Raw genomic sequence first — 19680 nt, forward strand, 5'->3', positions numbered from 1 at the left:
AGAGTGTCCTAAACATTCTGTATGTGCAAAAGCCCTGAGGCAGGAAAGTGGTTGGCTTTGAGGATCCACAAGAAGACCACTGTGCCTATATAATGGGAAGAAAAAAGGAAAGTGACTCAAGATGTTGTTGAAGAGATAGAAAAAGTCCACATCTGCAGACTTTATAGGTTATGTTAAAGATTTGGGATTTTATTCCAATTACAATAAGAGTTTATTAAGGGGTTTAACTGAGGATAGTGACATGATCCAAAACACACTTTAAGATGTTACTATTTTATACATGTGGAAATAGAGAGATAAATCAGTAGACAGTCGCAATATCAAAATGATGATGGCTTTATCCACGTAGGCGGAGGAGAGAAGGCAAGAAGTGCATGGATTTGAGAGACATATTGGAATAGAATTGAGAAGTAGAACTTCCATTGCTTTGTAAGAAAAAAATGAGGAAAAAGGAAGGAATCAAAGGCAATATTCTAGTTTTCTATGTTGAATCACTGAGTGGCTGGTAGGACCCCAGTGATTCAACATAGAGAACTAGAATATGCATCCTTTGCTGAATAGGGATACACTGAGAATGGTGAGGTGGAAAACAAGTTTAGTCAGAAAATCAGAGTTATATTTTAGATATGTAGTTATAATATATCCATGAAACACCCAAGTGGAGATGCCAAATAGGCTGTTGTGAAGATGAATCTGGAGCTCCAGGAGAGGGTTGGGTTAGTGATATAAATGTGGAGGAGGTCAGCAGATAATTCAATGCTGTGGATTCAATGGAATTCAATGGAATGGATGTGATTCAATGGAATGGATGTGACCAGCTATGAAGAGAGGGTAGAGAGAGAAAAGAACCCGTCCAGGACCAAGCCTCCATGAGGATGATAGAGGCTGTGAAAGGAAACAGAGGAGTCTACTGAGGGTTGGGCAATGAAGCAAGAGGAAAACCAGACACATGTTATGGAATCATGATAAGAGCACTTTAAGCAGGAGATTGTGATAAACTGTGTTGATTGTTTTTTAGAGGTCTCAAGGACAGAGTAACACCTAGTGACTTTGACAACACTGAGCTTTGGGTGATCTTGACACAGTTGTTTTAGTGAAACAGTAGGGCTGAAAGACTATTTGTATTAGGTTGAAAAATTACATGTGAAGGAAGGACATGAAGGAGAAGCTTCAGTCCTGTACTCTCAAGGCTAGACCACATATCTAATACTGACAATCTAGGAATAATTTTATGACAGCCAAAATCAATTTCCTTTTTAAATGAAATGTAGTCTCACTCTCTGAAAACCTTTTAAAGCTACACAGCTCCTGATATATCTGGAATGCTGAATGGATTGCTTAGCTATCAATATTTATTATGCTATCTGACCTAGAATTTAATATTTGTCATCAGTCACTAATTTTTAAATTTTCCTGCTTACTCAAGCCATAATTAAAAAAATCTGCATTTAAATGACCATATGCTGAAGGTCAACAACAGCTGTGCAAAATATCATGGTAAGGTACCACTGAGAGTTACAAAAGAGGTAGAAGCATAATCTCAAACTTCCAGGGAATTTACAATCTAAACTCAAGCTGCCAACCAATGTGTATAGAAAGCAATTAAGTAACTTTCTTTTACAATAATCTCAGTATAGTCCTTGTTGTTCGTAATATAATTTATTATGTGTAAGAAAGCCATTATATAAAATTAACAACTTAAATATTATTTATTTTAGTACTTCAAAATGTATTTTGGAAATATATGATTACTTGTATCAATAAATTTTTAGAAGCTGCAAGCTAGAAAATGGAGTCTAAAACCAAGATTAATCTAGGCAGTTGTTTATATGAGGATAGAGTTATCTCTGTCTCCCCTCCTATTTAAACCCAATCTCTCCTTCTATGACTACAATCCCACTTCCTCAAACTTTGTCAGGGCTTCCTTCTCTGAAATATCTCTCAAATGTCTCCTTTCTTTTGCATGTTCAACCTCTCTTTCTGGTAGTTTATCTCCATCAGTAGATAAACTCTCTCAAGATTCATATGTATTAAAAAAAGACAAATGTTTTCCAAGTCCCAGAAGTATAAGATATGCCAAGTGAAATACATGTTTTTCCCTCACCCCTGACACACATACCTTTCACAGTAATTATAGGTTGGCTTTTCCTTGTGATTTTCCCCTTCAGTGAATAGCATCACCCGTGCTAGAAACCTCGAATACATCGTTGACTCTTTCCTTTGTTTTACCCCCACTTTTAATTTATCACTAGGTCCTATTGATTTACCTTCTAACATCTTTTTAATCCAGCTACATCTTTCCATGACTAGGATATTACCCTAATCTATTGGACAGTGTCTCTCACCTAAATCGCCTATGGCCTTTTAATGGATTTCTAGAACTCCTTGGAATTTGTTCTCCTCCATTTTCTCCAGTGCATGCATGATGATCTTTCTAAATGCACATCCCTAGATTAAAAGACTTTAGTGTCTCCCCATCACTACCTGGGTCAAATCTGAACCTCTTACCTCAGTATATAAGACCCTTTCTGACTTTGCTTATGTTGAACACACACACACACACACACACACACACACACACACACACACACCTTTCAGAAGTCATGTTCTTTCTCATCTCTGGGTTATGTGCATGCTGTCCCCTCTCCTGGGAAATATTTCTCTGTTCTTGTGCTCCCCACTGGCCAACTTACTCACTCTAGACTCCAGTTGAAATGTCACTTACCCTAAGAAGACTTTCTTAAGTGCCACAGATTCCAAGTGACTCTGTGCTTTTCCTATCATGGTTCACCAAACTCCATGTTGTGTGAGTGATTATTTTGGATCTGCTGAAAGGAAAAAAATGAAGTGTTACTTAATCCCAGATTTGTAACTTGGTTTTCTCTACCATCTTTTAATATATACTTATACAATGAGTTTCCAAACATGACCAAAATGTCAGGTTAAGCAACTGGAATAATTAAAAATATCCTGGCCTGAAAGTGTACTAGGATGACGATGCCTAATTATTATTGATTACACTTATGTTTCACCCTTTTAGAAAAAATAATTTTTCTAGTACCACCTGCTATGTGATGAAATTAAACTCACTTTCAATTACCCATCAGTGTTTTCTTTTTCTCTGTTTCTTTTGATTTTGCCAAAAGTTTAAGCTTTCAATAATTAATTTAGTGAGGCATTTAAATTTGCCTATTATATTGAAAGTAATATAGTTTTAAAATCCTTTTTGAGATTTGTTTGCACAATGTCTTTAGTAATCACTGCAACATGCTTCTATATTGGTCATTTAGTAAAATAACCTATGGATACTTTTGCCAACCCAAAAGAATCCAGACATGCAGAATATAATCAACACCATTGTGATTGATAAGCACATAAACTATCTAGCTTAAATAGCCACAGAGCTCATGATCCATGAAATGTGTCCACATACCCCACTCGACCACTATTCCATTTTAAAAAATAATTTATTTCATTTATTAAACTAATATATGTACTACATGGACTGCAACAATGCTCGTATGGAATAATAACAGCTCACTGTACCTCCCCTTTAGCTCTTGTGAATTCTAAACTCCTAAAACAATACTTTCTTCTTCTTCTTCCCCCCAGCTTTTGCAGGCATATCTCATCACATTTCTAAATAATATGTTTATACTGCTACTTTTTGTTTTTCAATTAGATCTTACTTATATGCTTATTTTTTTACTTTCAAATTTTTTAAACGTAACATACAGAAAAGGACATAAGACATGTATACTTAAAAATAATTATAAAATTTTATTATTTATAAAACACGTATTATAACTGTATTACACATTAACATTACACATATAACTATATTACACATTACACAGATAACATTACACATATTATACGTATATTATTACACATTACACATATAACATTACACATATTATAACTGAATTACACATTACACATATAACTGTATTACACATTAACAAGTACATTTACATGAAGAATAAACTTATAAATTAATAACATCATCATCATCATCATAATTACTGCTCCAAGGCCAAAAGATCCCCATACATCTCTTCCAAATCACAACTGTCCTCTGTCTCTCAAGAATAGCAATTGTCCTTATTTGTATAATACATTTCCTTGCCTTCCTTTGCTTATTTTTTAAATCAACTATGTATGCATCTCTGTAAAATAGAGCTTGGTTTTCCCAGATTTTGAACTTTATATTAATGGGCTCATACAGTAGTGCTGCAGTTCTCCATGGGAGCAGCTCTCCCCTAGGAGACATTTGACAATGTCTGGAAACATTGTGGTTGTCACACCTGGGGAGGGGGGAACAATACTGGTGTCTACTGGTTGGGGCTAGGGATGTTCCTAGCATCCTACCAAATACAGGATAACCCCCATAACAAGCAGTTTTCTGGGCCAAAATGTCAATAGTGCTGAGGTCAAGAAACCTGTTGAAGAGGGTTCCATTGTATGGATATACCACAAAATTTAGTTATTTAAACTATAGCTGATGGAGCTTGAATTGTTTTCATTTTTGGATGAAACAATGCTTCTGTGAATATTTTGGTGTCTATATCCTGTTCATACAAGTGGTTTCTCTATAAGTGGAATGTTTTTAATCATAGGATTAGCATCTTCAACTTTCCTAGATGCTCCTCAATTGTTTCCCAAAGTGAATGTTGGATTTTTACTATTGAAAATTAAGATGTGACTTTCTTAAGCCATAACTATCAAGCACACTTTCCTTCTACTTTTTCTTTCAATTTATTCATGTCACAGTTTTGTTTAAAACAATTTTAGTGTTTATTTAGACAAGGTGAATTTGCTCATATCCAAGCTATATAGCTATGATTATATATATTTTTTCTATATAAGCAAGAATTTTGGGGGAGACTAACAATTGTCTAATTTCTTCTTGTTTGCTTGCTGTTCTATGTAGCTGTCATTCATTTATCCTCGGATGCTCTCATGGGACTACAAACTCCCATATGTTGTATGTTTCCTTGGAGATACTCTTCCTCTGCTCTTCTGCTTTTAACAAGACAGATTGACTGATTGCTTCATAGACAGGCTAGGTTTTTTTTCCCCTCTATCATCTTGGGAATAGCTTTTGAGTATTTCCTGTGTTGGAGTCACCTGTTTCCTGGATTCCTTCATTTTCTTCCTTAGTTTTGTGGAAACACACTTTGGCAGAGTAACTTCATATTCTACTTTTCTCAACTTTGACTGTTGAAACTCTTTTACTGTGTTTTATTTCTCCTAGCATATTTTCAGTTTCCAAGAGCACTTTCTCGATCTCTGAATGTTCCTTTTTCTCATATATCACACTGGCTTTGCTTCTTGTTTCTTATTGCTCTGTGTTTCCTAAAAGGTCTACTGGCTTTTGCCTACTCATTCACGTTTCAAAATGTGGCACAAAGAGGCCACTGGGAAATTCTATGTACGTGGGCAGAAAGGAGCAAGAACATAGCCCATTTCAGTGAGAACCCTTCTCACTCTGATGTTGATATTTGTGGGTATTTTTTTCCCTGGGGCAGGTTATTTTTTCAGAACAGAATCTCCATTCTCTTGCTGGGACATATAAGGCTGCTAGTCACTGCTAAAAGGGATGTGGGCTAAAGATCTCACTGTTTATGGGGCAAGTCTTTGCTAAATCTTTTTTATTGCAGACAGGGGCCACATTTCTACCTTCAGCTGTTCTTGCTGTGATGAAGTCCAAAGTCCAGAGAAAATCTGGCACAACCTCTTCAGAAAATAAGTCATCTGACTTTCAACAATACTGATTATATAGGGAAATTATGGACGCCAGGATCTGTTAGACTTAGAATCAATTCTTTCATTTTTGGCCTTACTTCAGTCCCTTGTCTTCCCTTCCAAGGAAGCTGCTGCCTCCCTTCCTGAGGCAGGTCTGGGTTGTGAACCATGTCAGCCTCCTTGCTTCTTGGATAGACATTTAGTAGAGAAAGCAAAAATCTGAATAAGTTGTCCATCTACCTGGTTTCCATCTTACACAATTTTGTTAACATTTCTAGTTGGCTGGTGTCATCTCTTTCATCTCTGTCCTTGTGGGTTTATATATTTATTTTTTTTTGTCATTTTAGTGGAATTTTAGAAGAAGGATGAGGAAAAACACATATATGTTTAATCCACTATATTTAACCATTAATCCTTCTCTACTACTAAAGTTACATTATATATGATACATATATGTGTAAAATATATATATGTGTATGTATATATATATATATGTACAGGAAATAAGAAAACAGAGATATATTGTCCTCTGTCTCTCTCTTTCACACGCAAACACACACACACACACACACACAACATGCATACACACAAACTGCTTTAGATGAGGTCTCTGATGTTTTTCAGATTGTCAGTTACAAAGATCTCTTTTCTGTTCATTTTGCTCAGATTCTCAGCCTACTCCTTTGCCTTGGCATCCCCTTCCTCTAGACTTTCATGACACCAGTTTTCTTTGTTCCTTGCAGTCTGTTCTGAATTTCTCTTCTCTGCCCAGTCTTCTTGCATTTGGGACCTCTGCCAGTTTACTCTCCATCTCTTGTTTCCTTTTTTTCTACTCTTTGACTTCTCCTCTAGTATTGCTATTCACCCCCTTCTTTAATTAGCATCTTGAAACCATAATAAACAAGTTTGTGTCTTTAACCCAGAGATGCCTCCTAATTTTCTCTGTGAATGCTCTATGATACCTTAAGTCATTATTTTCCAAATGGAATTCATTACATCCCCAGAACTCTTTTCTCTTTCAACTCAATTGCTGCCTCTCTTTTTCTTTAATATTTCTTATTTAAATCAGGGGTCAGAAATATTTTTCTGGAAAGGCCAGATAGTAAATATTTTAGGCCATTTGTATGTTTCTGTTAACTATTCAACTATGCTGTTACGGTGGAAGGCAAGCTTAATCGATACATAAGCAAATGGGTCTGACTGCATTCCAATAGGATTTTATTTACAAAAACAGACCAGCAGGCTGGATTTGGCCCTCTGGCCATAGTTTGTTGACCCCTGGTCTAGGTTAATGGCCATGCTAACCAGAAACCTCTTAACTGAGCTTCCTCTCTCACATCTGGCCAGTATGCCCTGCTGACTCCGCCCTTCCAGATCTGCCCTGTTTCTACAGCCCGGCCTGCACACTTTCCTCTCTCAGAGCTGCATCTTTTCACCTGTTAATTGTGGTAGCTGTTTATCCAGTCTGTCCGCTTTCTGTCTTGTAGTCCTTTAGCCCATGTTCTACGCTGTTTTCAAAGCAGTCTTAGGCAAGCAGAACTTAATCCTGTGACTGTTTGTTGAAAATACTCAATGTTTTGCAAATATCTATATGGTAGCGCTTCTCCAATTTTAGGTGCGTAAGGGCTACTTGAAGTATTCATTAAAGTAAATATTTCTGGGTCCCATCCTGGGAGTTCTGATTGTATAGTTCAGAGTTGGGAGCCAGGAATTCGCATTTTTAATAAATCATCCAAAATGACTCTGTGATATATGGTCTTCAGATACTTGAGAAACACTAGCCCATGGTAAAGAGCAAACAGCTATATGATTATAGTTTACCCACCAATGTGTAAGCATACAAAAATGTAAAAAGCATAGCTCTTGCCATCTGGGAACTCACAATCTAATAGAGAAGATAGACACATAAACAAATAAAGGGAGTTAATGTGTTTTAGATATTCAAATATAGATATGTAGATGGTAAGAATCCTGGAGTTGAGGAGAACTCATCCAAGAATGTGAGTTCTTCCTGACCTGCCTGCATCTCCAGCCCTGCCTCTCACAACCCCTCTCCAGCATGTTACGGGTCAACCCTTCACCTGAACTGGCCATGTTCCTTTACCCCTTTCACATTTCTTGGATGATAGTAATTTTTCCAGTAATGCCATTAAACCCTTCTTAGCTTAGCAAACTTCCTTTAAGGCTCAACTTGAGTACCATCTTCTTGGATGAGTTCTCCTAAACTCCGGGATTCTTACTATGCACATATCTATATTTGGGTACCTAAAATGTATTAACTGCCTTTATTTGTTTATGTGTCTGTGTTCTCTATTAGATTGTGAGTTTCCAGAGGGCAGTAGCTATGCCTTTTGCATTTTTGTATACTTATACATTGGTGGTATTTTATATAGTACATATACTAACATGTATTGATTGGATGTAAGAATTAGTAAATATATTAATATTTATATTTTATAGATAATTAAACTGAAGCTCTGATATGTTAACTGACTTGTTTGAGGTCAACTAAATTGCAGACACAATCAAGGATATCACACTTTTTGGACTTTCGTTGTTTTTCTGATCATACATACTTCCTTTCTAACATGATAGGGTTATTCCCTCTGCTCAAGTGAGTCTTGAATCCGGGAAGTGTTCAACAGGACTTCTAAATTTGATTATACTTATTCAATCTTTTGATTTTTAAATGTGTGTCATTTCAAAGGCTGACTAATAATGTTTGCTAGTCAGTCAGTCATGCCAGAGTCACTGCTTTCTATAAGCTTGGCCTGTACAATTTTTGAATTTCTGGACCTCTACATCTTTGAGCTGCACATCTCTTGGTTTTCTTCGGCTTATGTAAATTATATTTTTTCTGCATACTTTTACTATAATAAATTGTGATGGCATTATTATTATTATTGCTTAACAACTAACTGTTCAAGAAAACAAAGGCTCTTTTTGGCAACTGCTCTACGAGAGTATTTCCTATGTTATCCTTTTCTGTACTTCTCATATGGCCCTTGGGATTCAGAACACTTGTATTTTGAAGTGCCAGCTAAAATTAGGCAGCTGAAATCCAGGAAAGGTCAGGGGTAAATGATAGCAACCTCTGGAATACTCGGCTGGGTTTGACCTTACTGTCTGGGAAAAAAGCAATTGCTAATTCTGGATTATTTTTGTTGGGTGAAGAAAGGGATTACATGCTGAGAGACACAGACAGGTGAACTTCTGCAGCAATCAGTATGCAGTTATTTAGTGCTCATTTCATTTTGCCTCATATTAAAGTTTATCATCACTGTCTCTTATCAAGTAGGGACCTTGCATTTTGTGAATTTCATCTCATCTTTCACATAGAAAACACTCAAAAAAAGCTTGTGAAATGCAATGAGCAATCCCTAAACCTCATTTCAAACTTTCACCTTTGCTAAGGTACAATAATGATGAAACAATGAAGTGCTCCAAAGGCAGGGAACCAAAGAAAGGAAGACCAAAGAGGCCATTGGAAACTATTACCCGGAAAATCAACCTTGGGAAGTTGCATGTCTGTATATCTGTTTCTTCACAACAATGAAACACACAGTCCAGCCCAGAGACCAGAAATGTGGCATTTTAATTGAATAACTTCATACTTGCTTGATAATTGTATATTTAACATAAATAATGTCCACTTGTCACATTTATATTTCTTTTAAACAATCAATTAGTATTTAATGAATTAGTGTCTGTACAGTGAAAAATAAGGTAGTTGTTAAAAAAACTTAAATTTTTATTGGTTTTGCTTACATAATAAAAAATCAGTAACTATAGCCACTTTAGGCAACCAAAAAATCCTCCCAGATATATAATTTTTTACATTGTTATATTACACTTTTATAAAGTTAGCTACAGCATACCCATGTTTTGCTATAAACTGTATTCCTTTGGCCATATGTAAGCTATCAATACTAAAAGGTGTTTGAACATACATCCACATTAGCAGTGGATAATAAGGGAGAAAATAGGTTAAAATCTTTTATAAATCTTTTGAGCTGTAACATCCATGTTAACAATAATTTTGTCTGTTGCTATATTAAAGTCCTTAATACTAGGAAACATGTTTTGAAGTTGAACGATAGCACCTTTTTCTATCTTGGTTTTGAGTATGTAAAGAAATTATAATTGTTTCTTACTTATCAGTATGTTAAAGTTTTGAATCAAACATTTTTTTAAAAAGCCACTGAATGCAATTTTATTATAAATAATGCAAGTATGCTTTTTGTGTGTAGTTTCAAAATTTGGCAAGATAATTAGAGAACATGATACTGACATGGAGAAGGAAAAGGTATCAGGATGTAAAAATTCAGTACATGGTAATAAAAATAATCTAAAATTTAAATAGAAATTAAATATATTAATAAACTGTGAAAATATTAGTGATTCAAAATTAATTTAAAATTGAGAGTCTAAAATGACTTCTATGATAACAGGCCTCTGAAAAAGTGATTGGGATGAAATTAAAGAACAAGTTTGTGGGTGATTTATAAATAGAATCCATATGGTGTGTGAATTAATTATTATTGCTCTTTCTTTCTGGCCACATTGTTGGGTTTTGGTTTACTGTACCATCACATTCAATATTGACAGAAAACAACATTACTAGCTTATTTCCAACATGTGGCCCAGCCTATTAAAAGAAAAACAAAGTAAAAATTTGGGCATATTTTAAGACCGAGTTAAAGCTCTTGGGCCCAATTTATTTCGAAAGTCACTCTGAGAACATTGCACTGTGTTTTGCTGGAACAAAATCAGGACCTTTTGCATTGATGTGACGAGGCAATGACGAACGTTAGGCTAAGAATGGGAATCTGTCCCCATGGGTTTCCTCCAACCCCACCTCATTTCCTCTCTCTTCCGTTTTCTCTTGTACATACTTTCACACACATCTCATCCCAAGCTATCCTAAGGCACTTTGCTTAGAAGATATAAAAATTAGGCAGGAACGCACAAAGCTAAGAGGTTCTTACGGTCTCAAAAAGCAGTTTTGCCTCTAGATGAAAGAAAAGCACCATGTCAAGCAAACTTTTCTATTGGCTATTTACAAAAATAATACAAAAATTAGTAATAAGCTTTACAGGTAGCTGTTAAATGTACTAATCTGTATGATTTTGAAAAATAGTATTTTAACTATAGCATTATACATATGCTAGAAACCATTTTAACCACAGCATGGGTGAGAGAGGGTGCTACCTGCCCCTTTGTCATGTGGACACTGCACCAGGCAGTTCACAGTCTTTATTATGAGGTCACTGGCATCTCTCCATCGTAAAGCTATGAGCACAGGGCCTGCCCTCATTTAATCATCTACATGCAGTGTATGTAGGTAAGTATTTACAGATGACAAAACCAAACAGAGTTTAAGCTACGATAGTGAAAGAAGAAGATTTTAATAATCCTGAAAAAATTGTAGATAGTATTGTCTTCACAGGGTATGTGAATGACAGATTCAAAAAAGTCTTTTGGGATAGCCTTTCAAACATTCTATTTCTCTTTGTGAGGTTTGATCTTAACTGAATGTAAAGGATGTAATAATTTTCTTTTTAAAAGTATTATATTTTAAATTCAGCTGGCACATGTGCCAGTCTGTTACATGCTGCTTGTTTGTGACATGTTGGTTACATATTGCAGAATGCTGAGGTTTGGGCTTCTAGTGAAAGTGTAATGATTTTCAAAAACAGCCTTGCTCTTTCTGTTACTCCCTCCTGATCATTTAAATGTTTCCAGTGTCCGAAAAATGCAACAACTAAACTGCTCTCTCATTTGCATCTAATTACAATCTGATAATAGTGTGATAATATTAATTGAAAAGTTGTTTTAAAGGATTTTAAAATTTTAAATTGAGTAATTTAAGCTTCATTTAAAAGTTCTGTTTTACAGTGACTTATTCTTCCTTTATATCAGAGTCCCATTGATTTAAAAATAAATCTCTTTTTAGAAAGAATAGAAATTCTGAGTGAGCTCATTTTTAAGCCTAAGTGTTGTGTGAATATCCTGGAAGTTGTTAAGAGCTATGTTGAAGTGCTAACTGTAAAAAATTAAGTGCTTTCACGACGAGGCTTTCTTAATTCCCACTGATTTTCTTTCCATGCCGTAAACAGCTCATAAAATGTCATATGTAGCTGTGAGTGTTAAAATAATTACACTTAATATTTTAATAGTGTGCTGTGCAAATACATAGTTTTTTGTTTTGTTTTGGCAAATGTTTCATTTTGTTTTAATGACTTCGGTCCAATATAAAGAAAATGAAATACAGTGAATAGTTCTTCTTTCAAGATGAGCTGTATTTATTACTGGAACGGAAGTTGTCATATCCGTGATCATTAGCTTTGAACTTTAAGCACGACTGCTTTTCCTCCAAGGACTGTTTTTCTTCAAATGACTGGCACCAGCAGCATAAGCATGACTGTACAAAACAAAGTAACTCATTATATGTTAACATCAGTCACCTTTCCCAACTCTTCCTCCTCTCCAGGGTTCTGACTTTCTTTGTATGATTAGGAGTTCTTGGGCCCTTTCTTTCAGTGCTCTTTTATTTTCCCTCTTAAAAGAATATAATCACAGTAGTAGCATATGATAATTTTTTAACTAAAAAAATGCAGAGAAGAAAAAAACCTACATAGTTAAAATTTCTCAACAAGAGAAAGCCACTTTTAATTGATATTTACTCTTGGTTATTTGATAATATTTGATAAACATATAATTCAAGACTTTTCCCCATGAAAACAGAAATATTTGCACATACATGAAATAAATAAATTATACACATGTATATGTGCATGTGCTGGAGAATGTGAGTATAATTATTTTACTGAGACTGTACTGTATGTATACTCCATAACCTTGTAGATACTTTCACAAACACCTCATCCCAAGTTATTCTAAGCCACTTTGCTGAGAAGATTTAACCTGCTTTTTCTCACTTGACAGTGACATAAATATCTTCTCATGTCAATGAATTTAATACTGCTTTCCTATTTTTTCAGCCATGTATTCTCATATCTCTTTTCAATATTGGTAAACAATAAGGTTATATAGTACAAAAGCATCTCAGTTTTCTTCAATTTTTTTCTTGAAGTTTTTTTAAATATAAAAATTTTTTCATTCTGCTTGTCTTCTGTTCATTCTATTTGTAAAAGAAAATGAGAAGTCCACTGTTTTATGTCTTATAAAATGAGGGTGTTGATCCTGATGGAAGTTCTCTTCCAACTCTAAAATTTGAGTTATGAGTGGGCGAAGAATGTTATAGGCTGCCTTAGTGTTTACGCGGGAGCTACGTTCTTAGCTTTCCAGTAGTGAAATACCATGGACAAATGGATGATTTTCACATTAGGGGAGGGGATATTTTATTTCATGTTAGATTGTTGAAGGAGTGAATGAATAGAAGGATGATAAAATGCAAGCAGCTGAAGAAGGAATTATATGTATTTCACATTGAACAGCACATCACTGTTATACAAAAAAGGAAGAAAGAGGTAAAACCTAAACTATTTTTTTTTTGTTTACCTTGCTATTCTCACAGTCCATGTGAAAAAGGAACTAATTTAGTTATAATAATAATTGCAGCTGCGAAGTTCAGAATCTACCAAAAACAGGGAACAGGGCCTTTAATTCATGTTTAGCCCTTATTTTATTATGTGATGCCTATCAGACATCAATGCATGTAATTTTTATTACTTTTTGGTCAACAATTCCATGAGTGTAACTGATTGGCTGAGGCAGTAGGGAGTGGCTGACTAGGATTTATAGGAAAAAACAATTATAGTGATTTACAAGCAAAAGTTGTATTTAAAAAAATCATCCATGATGTAATAAAAGGGAAACTATAAGATAATTTACTAAATCTGTCTGGATAGATATATTAGCAGTTTTGAAAGCTTATATTTGAGCCATATTACAAAGAGCTTTTTATTTTGGGATAGTCTCTTACCTTAAAGCAGTTTTTGAATCTTTTGCTCACCAAATACAGAGCAATTGGGTTAATGCAGGAATTCAGTGAAGCCATGTTGATACCAATATAGTCCAATACCAACAGAAAGCTGCAACAAAATAACCCAAAATGTGTCTGAAAAATATGCTATTCTGAACATGTAGTCATTGTAGCTTCTGTGCTTTTGTAAGGAAAAAAAATGCCAATATACAATGGTTCTAAATTTATCACTCGTCTTTGCTAACAATGATTCTCTGCCTGTCTCTGTCTGTGTCCCCCTCTAACTCTAGCATTTCTACTGACTTTCCTCCATTTCCCCTTCCCAGGCCCAATTCTTCTCTTTTAAAATAAAATCTCATTTGGAAGTACTGAAGCTGGCTGAAAAGAAGAAATTTAGAAAACGCGTTGGAGAATCGGACCTGACATTTTCCGCCTTGGCACTCACTCATCATCTTGACAACTCTGACTCTCTGTACCCAGTGTTCTTCATACCCCCCCTTCCCTGTCCCTCTCAACAGGACCTCAGATAAAAATTGGGAGTCTCCATGACTTCCTAAGGGTTAGAAAAATGGTAGTCTGTCTTTCTGCCTATAAAAAAGATCGATGGAAACACTTCTGAGTGGCATTTATTTACAAAACCATTTCTAGTTTGCCTTTCTTACCTCAAAAGTTCACATCTATTGGGATCATTCTGATTATAAAGAGTGAGCTTCAGAATCCTGCTGAGGTGAAGGGGAAGCCAGCAGAGGGCAAAGACAAGGACCAGGCAAAAGACGGTTTTGGCCACTTCCCGTCTCTGAAATAAATCCATAGTTTGACCCTTAAAAGATGGCTCATTTTACTCATAGCATTCTATCTTCTAAAACGACATTTAATATTGTCTACAAAAAGTCAGTGGCATATGTAAAAACTCAGGACACTGAGCTTTATATGGAATAGTTAATGTGAAGTGGAACCGAAGTGACTAGAGATTCATCTTTAAAAAGTTCTGATTCTCCCTAGATCCTTTTAGATTATATAGAATATCTCCAAATAAATAATATAAAAATATTCTTTATCTATTTAAAACTACCAGAAACAAGAAAAAGGAAATATGCTCTGGTATATAATAATGTTAGTTTATCATCATCATCATCATAATTTTCATATTCATAATTATAAATTCAACCACGAGTTATCAAATATTTGTATTTTCTTACCTGCTTTAGGTGATCATTTAAAGCAATCTGCATGCCACTTTTCTTTCTCAACATTTCACAGGTCATTAGTGTATAAAAAAATGCAGTGATGGCCAATGGCAAGCAGAAATAGAAACTGAATAGCCACCAATCTTTTGCTGTCTTGTAAAACTATAGGGATGAGAGAATTTTTACGATTAATACTCCTCTGTAAGAAAATCTTATATAACAAATGTTAAACTTAAAAAAATTCATCAGGGAATGATTATCTTCTAAATTAGATCCAGTTTGTATATATCATACAGAATCTTTCAGGCCACACTTACTGAACAAATAAATAGTCATGTTAAATAAAACAAATTTTCCCAAAAATATTTCAGTTCTCTAAGACAATGTGTTATAAGCATGCACAAAAACTTAAGTAGTTAGGCAAAATTTGAAATATTTGGTAATTCAATGCTTTGTCTTCACATAAGAAACTTATCCTTAGAGTATTTTTTGTGTGAAATATAACACCTAAATATGTAAAGATAACTTAGTGTTTAGATGAAGTTCTCATTTTTTAGCAAGTTTGTTTAATGGGAACAACAGATACGAAAAGGTCTAGGTTAACCATTTAGCTCAGTAACATATAAATCTAACCTCGCAAAAAGACAAAATCTGCTTTTGACTTATGTCGTATCTCTTATTCTTTTTCTTCTCTGTTATCTTTTTCATATTGCTTTAGATATATCTGTGTTGGAGAGGAAATTATGTAACCTAGGCAGCACTTTTTTTTTCTTTTTACTAATAGGAAACAAGGAAATAGCAATTTCATTTTCAATTTCACATTATGTCCTTGATTCTTTTACTTATCATGATATATACAGTTCATAAAGTTTTATTTAGTCTCCTTATATATTCAATAGAAAATAATCATTGGGAATAGTTAAGCCAGCCCCCTTTGCATTAATGTCTCTTAACTCATTCTGTTGGGAAGAGCCTTTTACACTCAGGATCTATCTTCTGGAAACGAGTATCATCATTCTTTTTCTATTCCCTAATCAAATGTTCTTTAATAAATGACCAGGATGAAAAGTTTCTTGCAATGGCAGCTTTCTTTTTGGCATCAAAGACAGAGAGAGGGGAGTCTTGCCATTCAGACTCCATCCATATCAGGGTGACTTCTATCTGAATATTTGCTGGACCATCCATTCCTCTGACAACTACTGGGCTATCTTGTGCAGATTACGTAGTAGTTGTCAGTCCTTATGGGGCTGTAGGATACAGTAAATTCCTCTTCAAAGAACCAATATGTCAGTGTGTTCAGCTTCCCTGTTCTTTGTTCTCCATTTTAAAGTTTAACTCCCTCATTCTTTACATCTCCTTGCCCCTAGTTTCAGTAAACAACCCCCTCCTAGCCTCTATCACCTGCTCTTTCCTTAGTTATCCTTCATCACCTGCTCTGTCCTTAGTCATCCTTAGTCACCTGCTCTGTCCTTAGTCATCCTTAGCCACCTGCTCTGACCTTAGTCATCCTTAGCCACCTGCTCTGTAACTGTCCTTCCCGCTGAAACTACTCACCCCACCACTCCAGCTCGTACCCCTGCTCTTTTTAAAATAGCCAATTGGAATTAACTTAGACTGTGCGGTCCAACCCTACCCAATAGGGGAAAGATGCAGCAGTGGGAACTAGCTACATCAGGGATAACACCCCCTTCCCCTCCCTTGTCTGGTGTGCTCTCGCCATTGCTCCATTGTGAGACACAACCTTCTATAGAAGTAAATTGCCTTGCTGAGAAAACTTTTGCCTGAGTGCTATTTTCACTTTGTGGCACCAAACATTTTACTTCTAACATGGCTTTAGGTAGAAAGCTATAAATTCACATCAATTCTTTCATGTGGACCTGGTTTATCTATGCCACTGAGATCAAGGGGATTCTTAGAGAAGTAGTGATCTAGCTTCTTGCAGCTTGAGTCATTGATCACCATTAACTCCACAGTCCTTGGATCTATACTCTTAATTTATGCCAAGGACAGTCATAAATCAACAGTTTCCCAAGGAGTGGGGAACAGGGGAAAAATAGCTAAATATTTATAAGGCAAGAGCAGAAAGGAAAATAAAAAAAGTGAAATTTACCTGCATGAAAGCTGTCTTCTGAACGGGATGAAGCAAGCAGATTCGCAGATAACTTCCTTTGTAGTCCATCGTAATTATATCAAAACCTATGGCTTCAGGGACAGCCAGAACCACAGAGACCACCCAAATCAAAACAATTTCTACTGCTGTCCATTTTGGAACCCCAATTCCTTTAATTCTACTCCAAGAAGCAACAGCTCGATATCTGAAGATAAAAATAGAATTGTATTTTAAGCTGGCATACCTTAGTTTTATTGAATTGCACAGTTTATTTTCTAAGTAACATGGAAAACAATAGTATATATTCAGAATATACTTGGATTAAATAGAAGCTTCTACCTGTCAATACTCAGAGCACATAGACTCAGCACAGTGATTCCCACAGAGGCTTTCTGTATGAAAGGCACCAGCTTACACATCTCAGCTCCAAATGGCCAGTCCTCTGCCAGCAGCTGCATTGAGAAGACACGAAGCTCTGTTAGGGGGTTTCATAAGATGCCCTCTGAATTGTATCACTTAGTGAAGAGTAATTAACATGCAGAGTAGGATAAACTCTGGTTGTCATTCTTTTTCTCATGGACTACTTCTTTGAAAAGCACCATTGTTTGATATATGTATGGGACAGGAAAGTGTGTTGGGATTGATGAAAATGCAGCCAGCTTATAAGAAGTCATCATGCGTATACAGTAGCTTAGAGTTCAGCTCACCTCATCAGAGCAAACTTGAGCCAGTCGCTTAAGTTCCTCCTGAAAATTGAACCTGTATACTGTCATGGAGTCTGAAATGCCCAGATCATGGCCAAAGCAAAATATGGGTTAATTAAAATTGAATGATAAACAGTCCTTAGCTGAGGAGACCAGACTTCCCTACTGAAGTAGTACTCCATGCAGAACAGCATGTGCATTCAGGCACTTGTTCTTCATTGCAGTCAGTTTACCTAACTGAACAATCATTCAGTAGGAGTAGCTACACAGTTGCTCAAACACACCAGGCACATTCCTACTTAGGGCTTTCGCTGTAGGTCCTTCCTTATCCTAGAAGGCTCTTTCCCCACAGATTCACCTGGTTAACTCGCTTATCTCCTTCAGGTCTTACTCAAATTTCATCTTTTCAACATGACTTACCTTGATCACACTATTAGATACCGTAACCGGTCAGACATCCCTATCTCCCTACTCTCTTTTCCTTTTTATCCATAGTCTATCAATTCCTGTGGCATAACACATTAACTTATTTGTTTGCTTAGATTTTTTTCTGTCTGGATCCCTGGAGTGTAAGACAGACTATGAGCTCCACAACTGCCTAGAACAGTGCCTGACACATAGCAGATGTTTAATATTAACAGTGCTTGATTCATAGACTCTAAAATATAACAGTGACTGGCTGTATAAGGAGCAAGAAGACATAGTTATTGCTATTATAGATATATATTTATACACACACATAGTATGTTATATATATATAGTGTGTATATATGTACACGTATATATTTCTCTTTATCTGACTGCAGACTATGAAACCATCTATTATTAAATGTGGTTATTTTCTTTCTTAGGACAATATGGTGTGTCCCACACTGGTAAATGAATCATTTTAGGTGAACATCTGGATCAAATGTTCATGAGGTTTTGAAAATAAAAGTATTTCAAATCCATGGGTCTTAAAAATAGTTTGAAAAACAACCTTGCAAAAGTGAAAATTATTTTGAGACACAATGGAGTCTTTCCATCCTTTCACTAGTAGTGAAGACTCTACCGAGTTTGTCAAGCTGAGTTGATTGTTCTATAACTAGAATGACGTCAAAGGCTAAAATGTTTGTCTCATAATGAATTTGACTTGGAGATTCAACATAGGACCAACTTCATTTCTAAGTTAGATATCAAAACTTACACAGACATGTAGGACAAAAGTTGGCAGACTTATCATATATATGCTTAATGTAGGATCCTGAAGACCTACAGGGCCAGGCAGGTAACACAGAGAAGTGGAGGGTGCCAGGTCTCAGAAAGTCATTGGTGTCAGGAAGATGACAGGGAGTGGGGTGGGGTCTGGGGTAAACTTTGTCTGAAAGGAGCAGCTGCTAGTAGACATCACATACTTTTTGCTAAGGGGCTCCAAATACAAAAATCTCTTGATTTTTCTAAAGAACCCAGATTGGAATTTTTATATGAATCTCACAATTTATTAAAGTCCAATTCATATATATTTTTAAAAAACTCTCATATAACATTGTATTATCAAAATACATCTGTGAGCCATCATAGCCTCTATCTTGTGACTTCTGGGTTAATCAACTGACTCATTAATTCTGCTTGTTCATTCATTCATTCAATGAATATTTATTGAGCATTCACTATGTGCCAGACACCATTCTGAGCACTCCTGCTCTCATGGAGTTTACACTATAGTGAGGGAGGCAGACAAAAAACACATACATACTTAAAATGGTGTTAAACAGAGGCTGTGATCATATTGAGTGAGGGTGGGATTTGAGGTGTTTTCTTGATAAGCTTCTCAGTAAGGTCACCCTGAAGAGACAGCATTTGAGGAGAGACTTGACTGAAATAAGACAGTAAGCCATGCGAAGAGCATTCTAGGCAGAGGCAAGAGCATGTGCAAACGCCCTGAGGTCAAAACAAGCCTGGTGAACTGGAGGTACAGCAATGAGGCTACTAGCTACTAAAGCT

General features: G+C 35.7%; 1 protein-coding gene and 1 long non-coding RNA gene across 5 annotated transcripts in view; one reads left to right on the forward strand and one right to left on the reverse strand.

The window, feature by feature from the left end:
• EDNRB-AS1 (EDNRB antisense RNA 1) overlaps positions 1-19680 on the forward strand; it is an 89506-nt gene that overhangs the window by 67226 nt on the left and 2600 nt on the right. The gene's annotated exons all lie outside the window — the stretch shown is intronic.
• EDNRB (endothelin receptor type B) overlaps positions 9325-19680 on the reverse strand; it is an 80041-nt gene continuing 69685 nt past the window's right edge. For 3 of the 4 annotated variants that reach the window (NM_000115.5, NM_001201397.2, NM_001122659.3), the window contains 6 exons: positions 17333-17445; positions 16994-17198; positions 14896-15045; positions 14359-14492; positions 13697-13805; positions 9325-12172 (listed from right to left, as the gene is read on the reverse strand). In NM_000115.5, coding sequence (NP_000106.1) covers positions 12038-12172; positions 13697-13805; positions 14359-14492; positions 14896-15045; positions 16994-17198; positions 17333-17445 — 846 coding nt within the window. In that variant the 3' untranslated portion in view covers positions 9325-12037. The remainder of the gene's footprint in view (positions 12173-13696; positions 13806-14358; positions 14493-14895; positions 15046-16993; positions 17199-17332; positions 17446-19680) is intronic. The other variant, NM_003991.4, reaches the window with a different exon arrangement.

The sequence above is a fragment of the Homo sapiens genome, chromosome 13 (genome assembly GCF_000001405.40).
Source record: "Homo sapiens chromosome 13, GRCh38.p14 Primary Assembly".
Classification (NCBI taxonomy): Eukaryota; Metazoa; Chordata; class Mammalia; order Primates; family Hominidae; genus Homo; species Homo sapiens.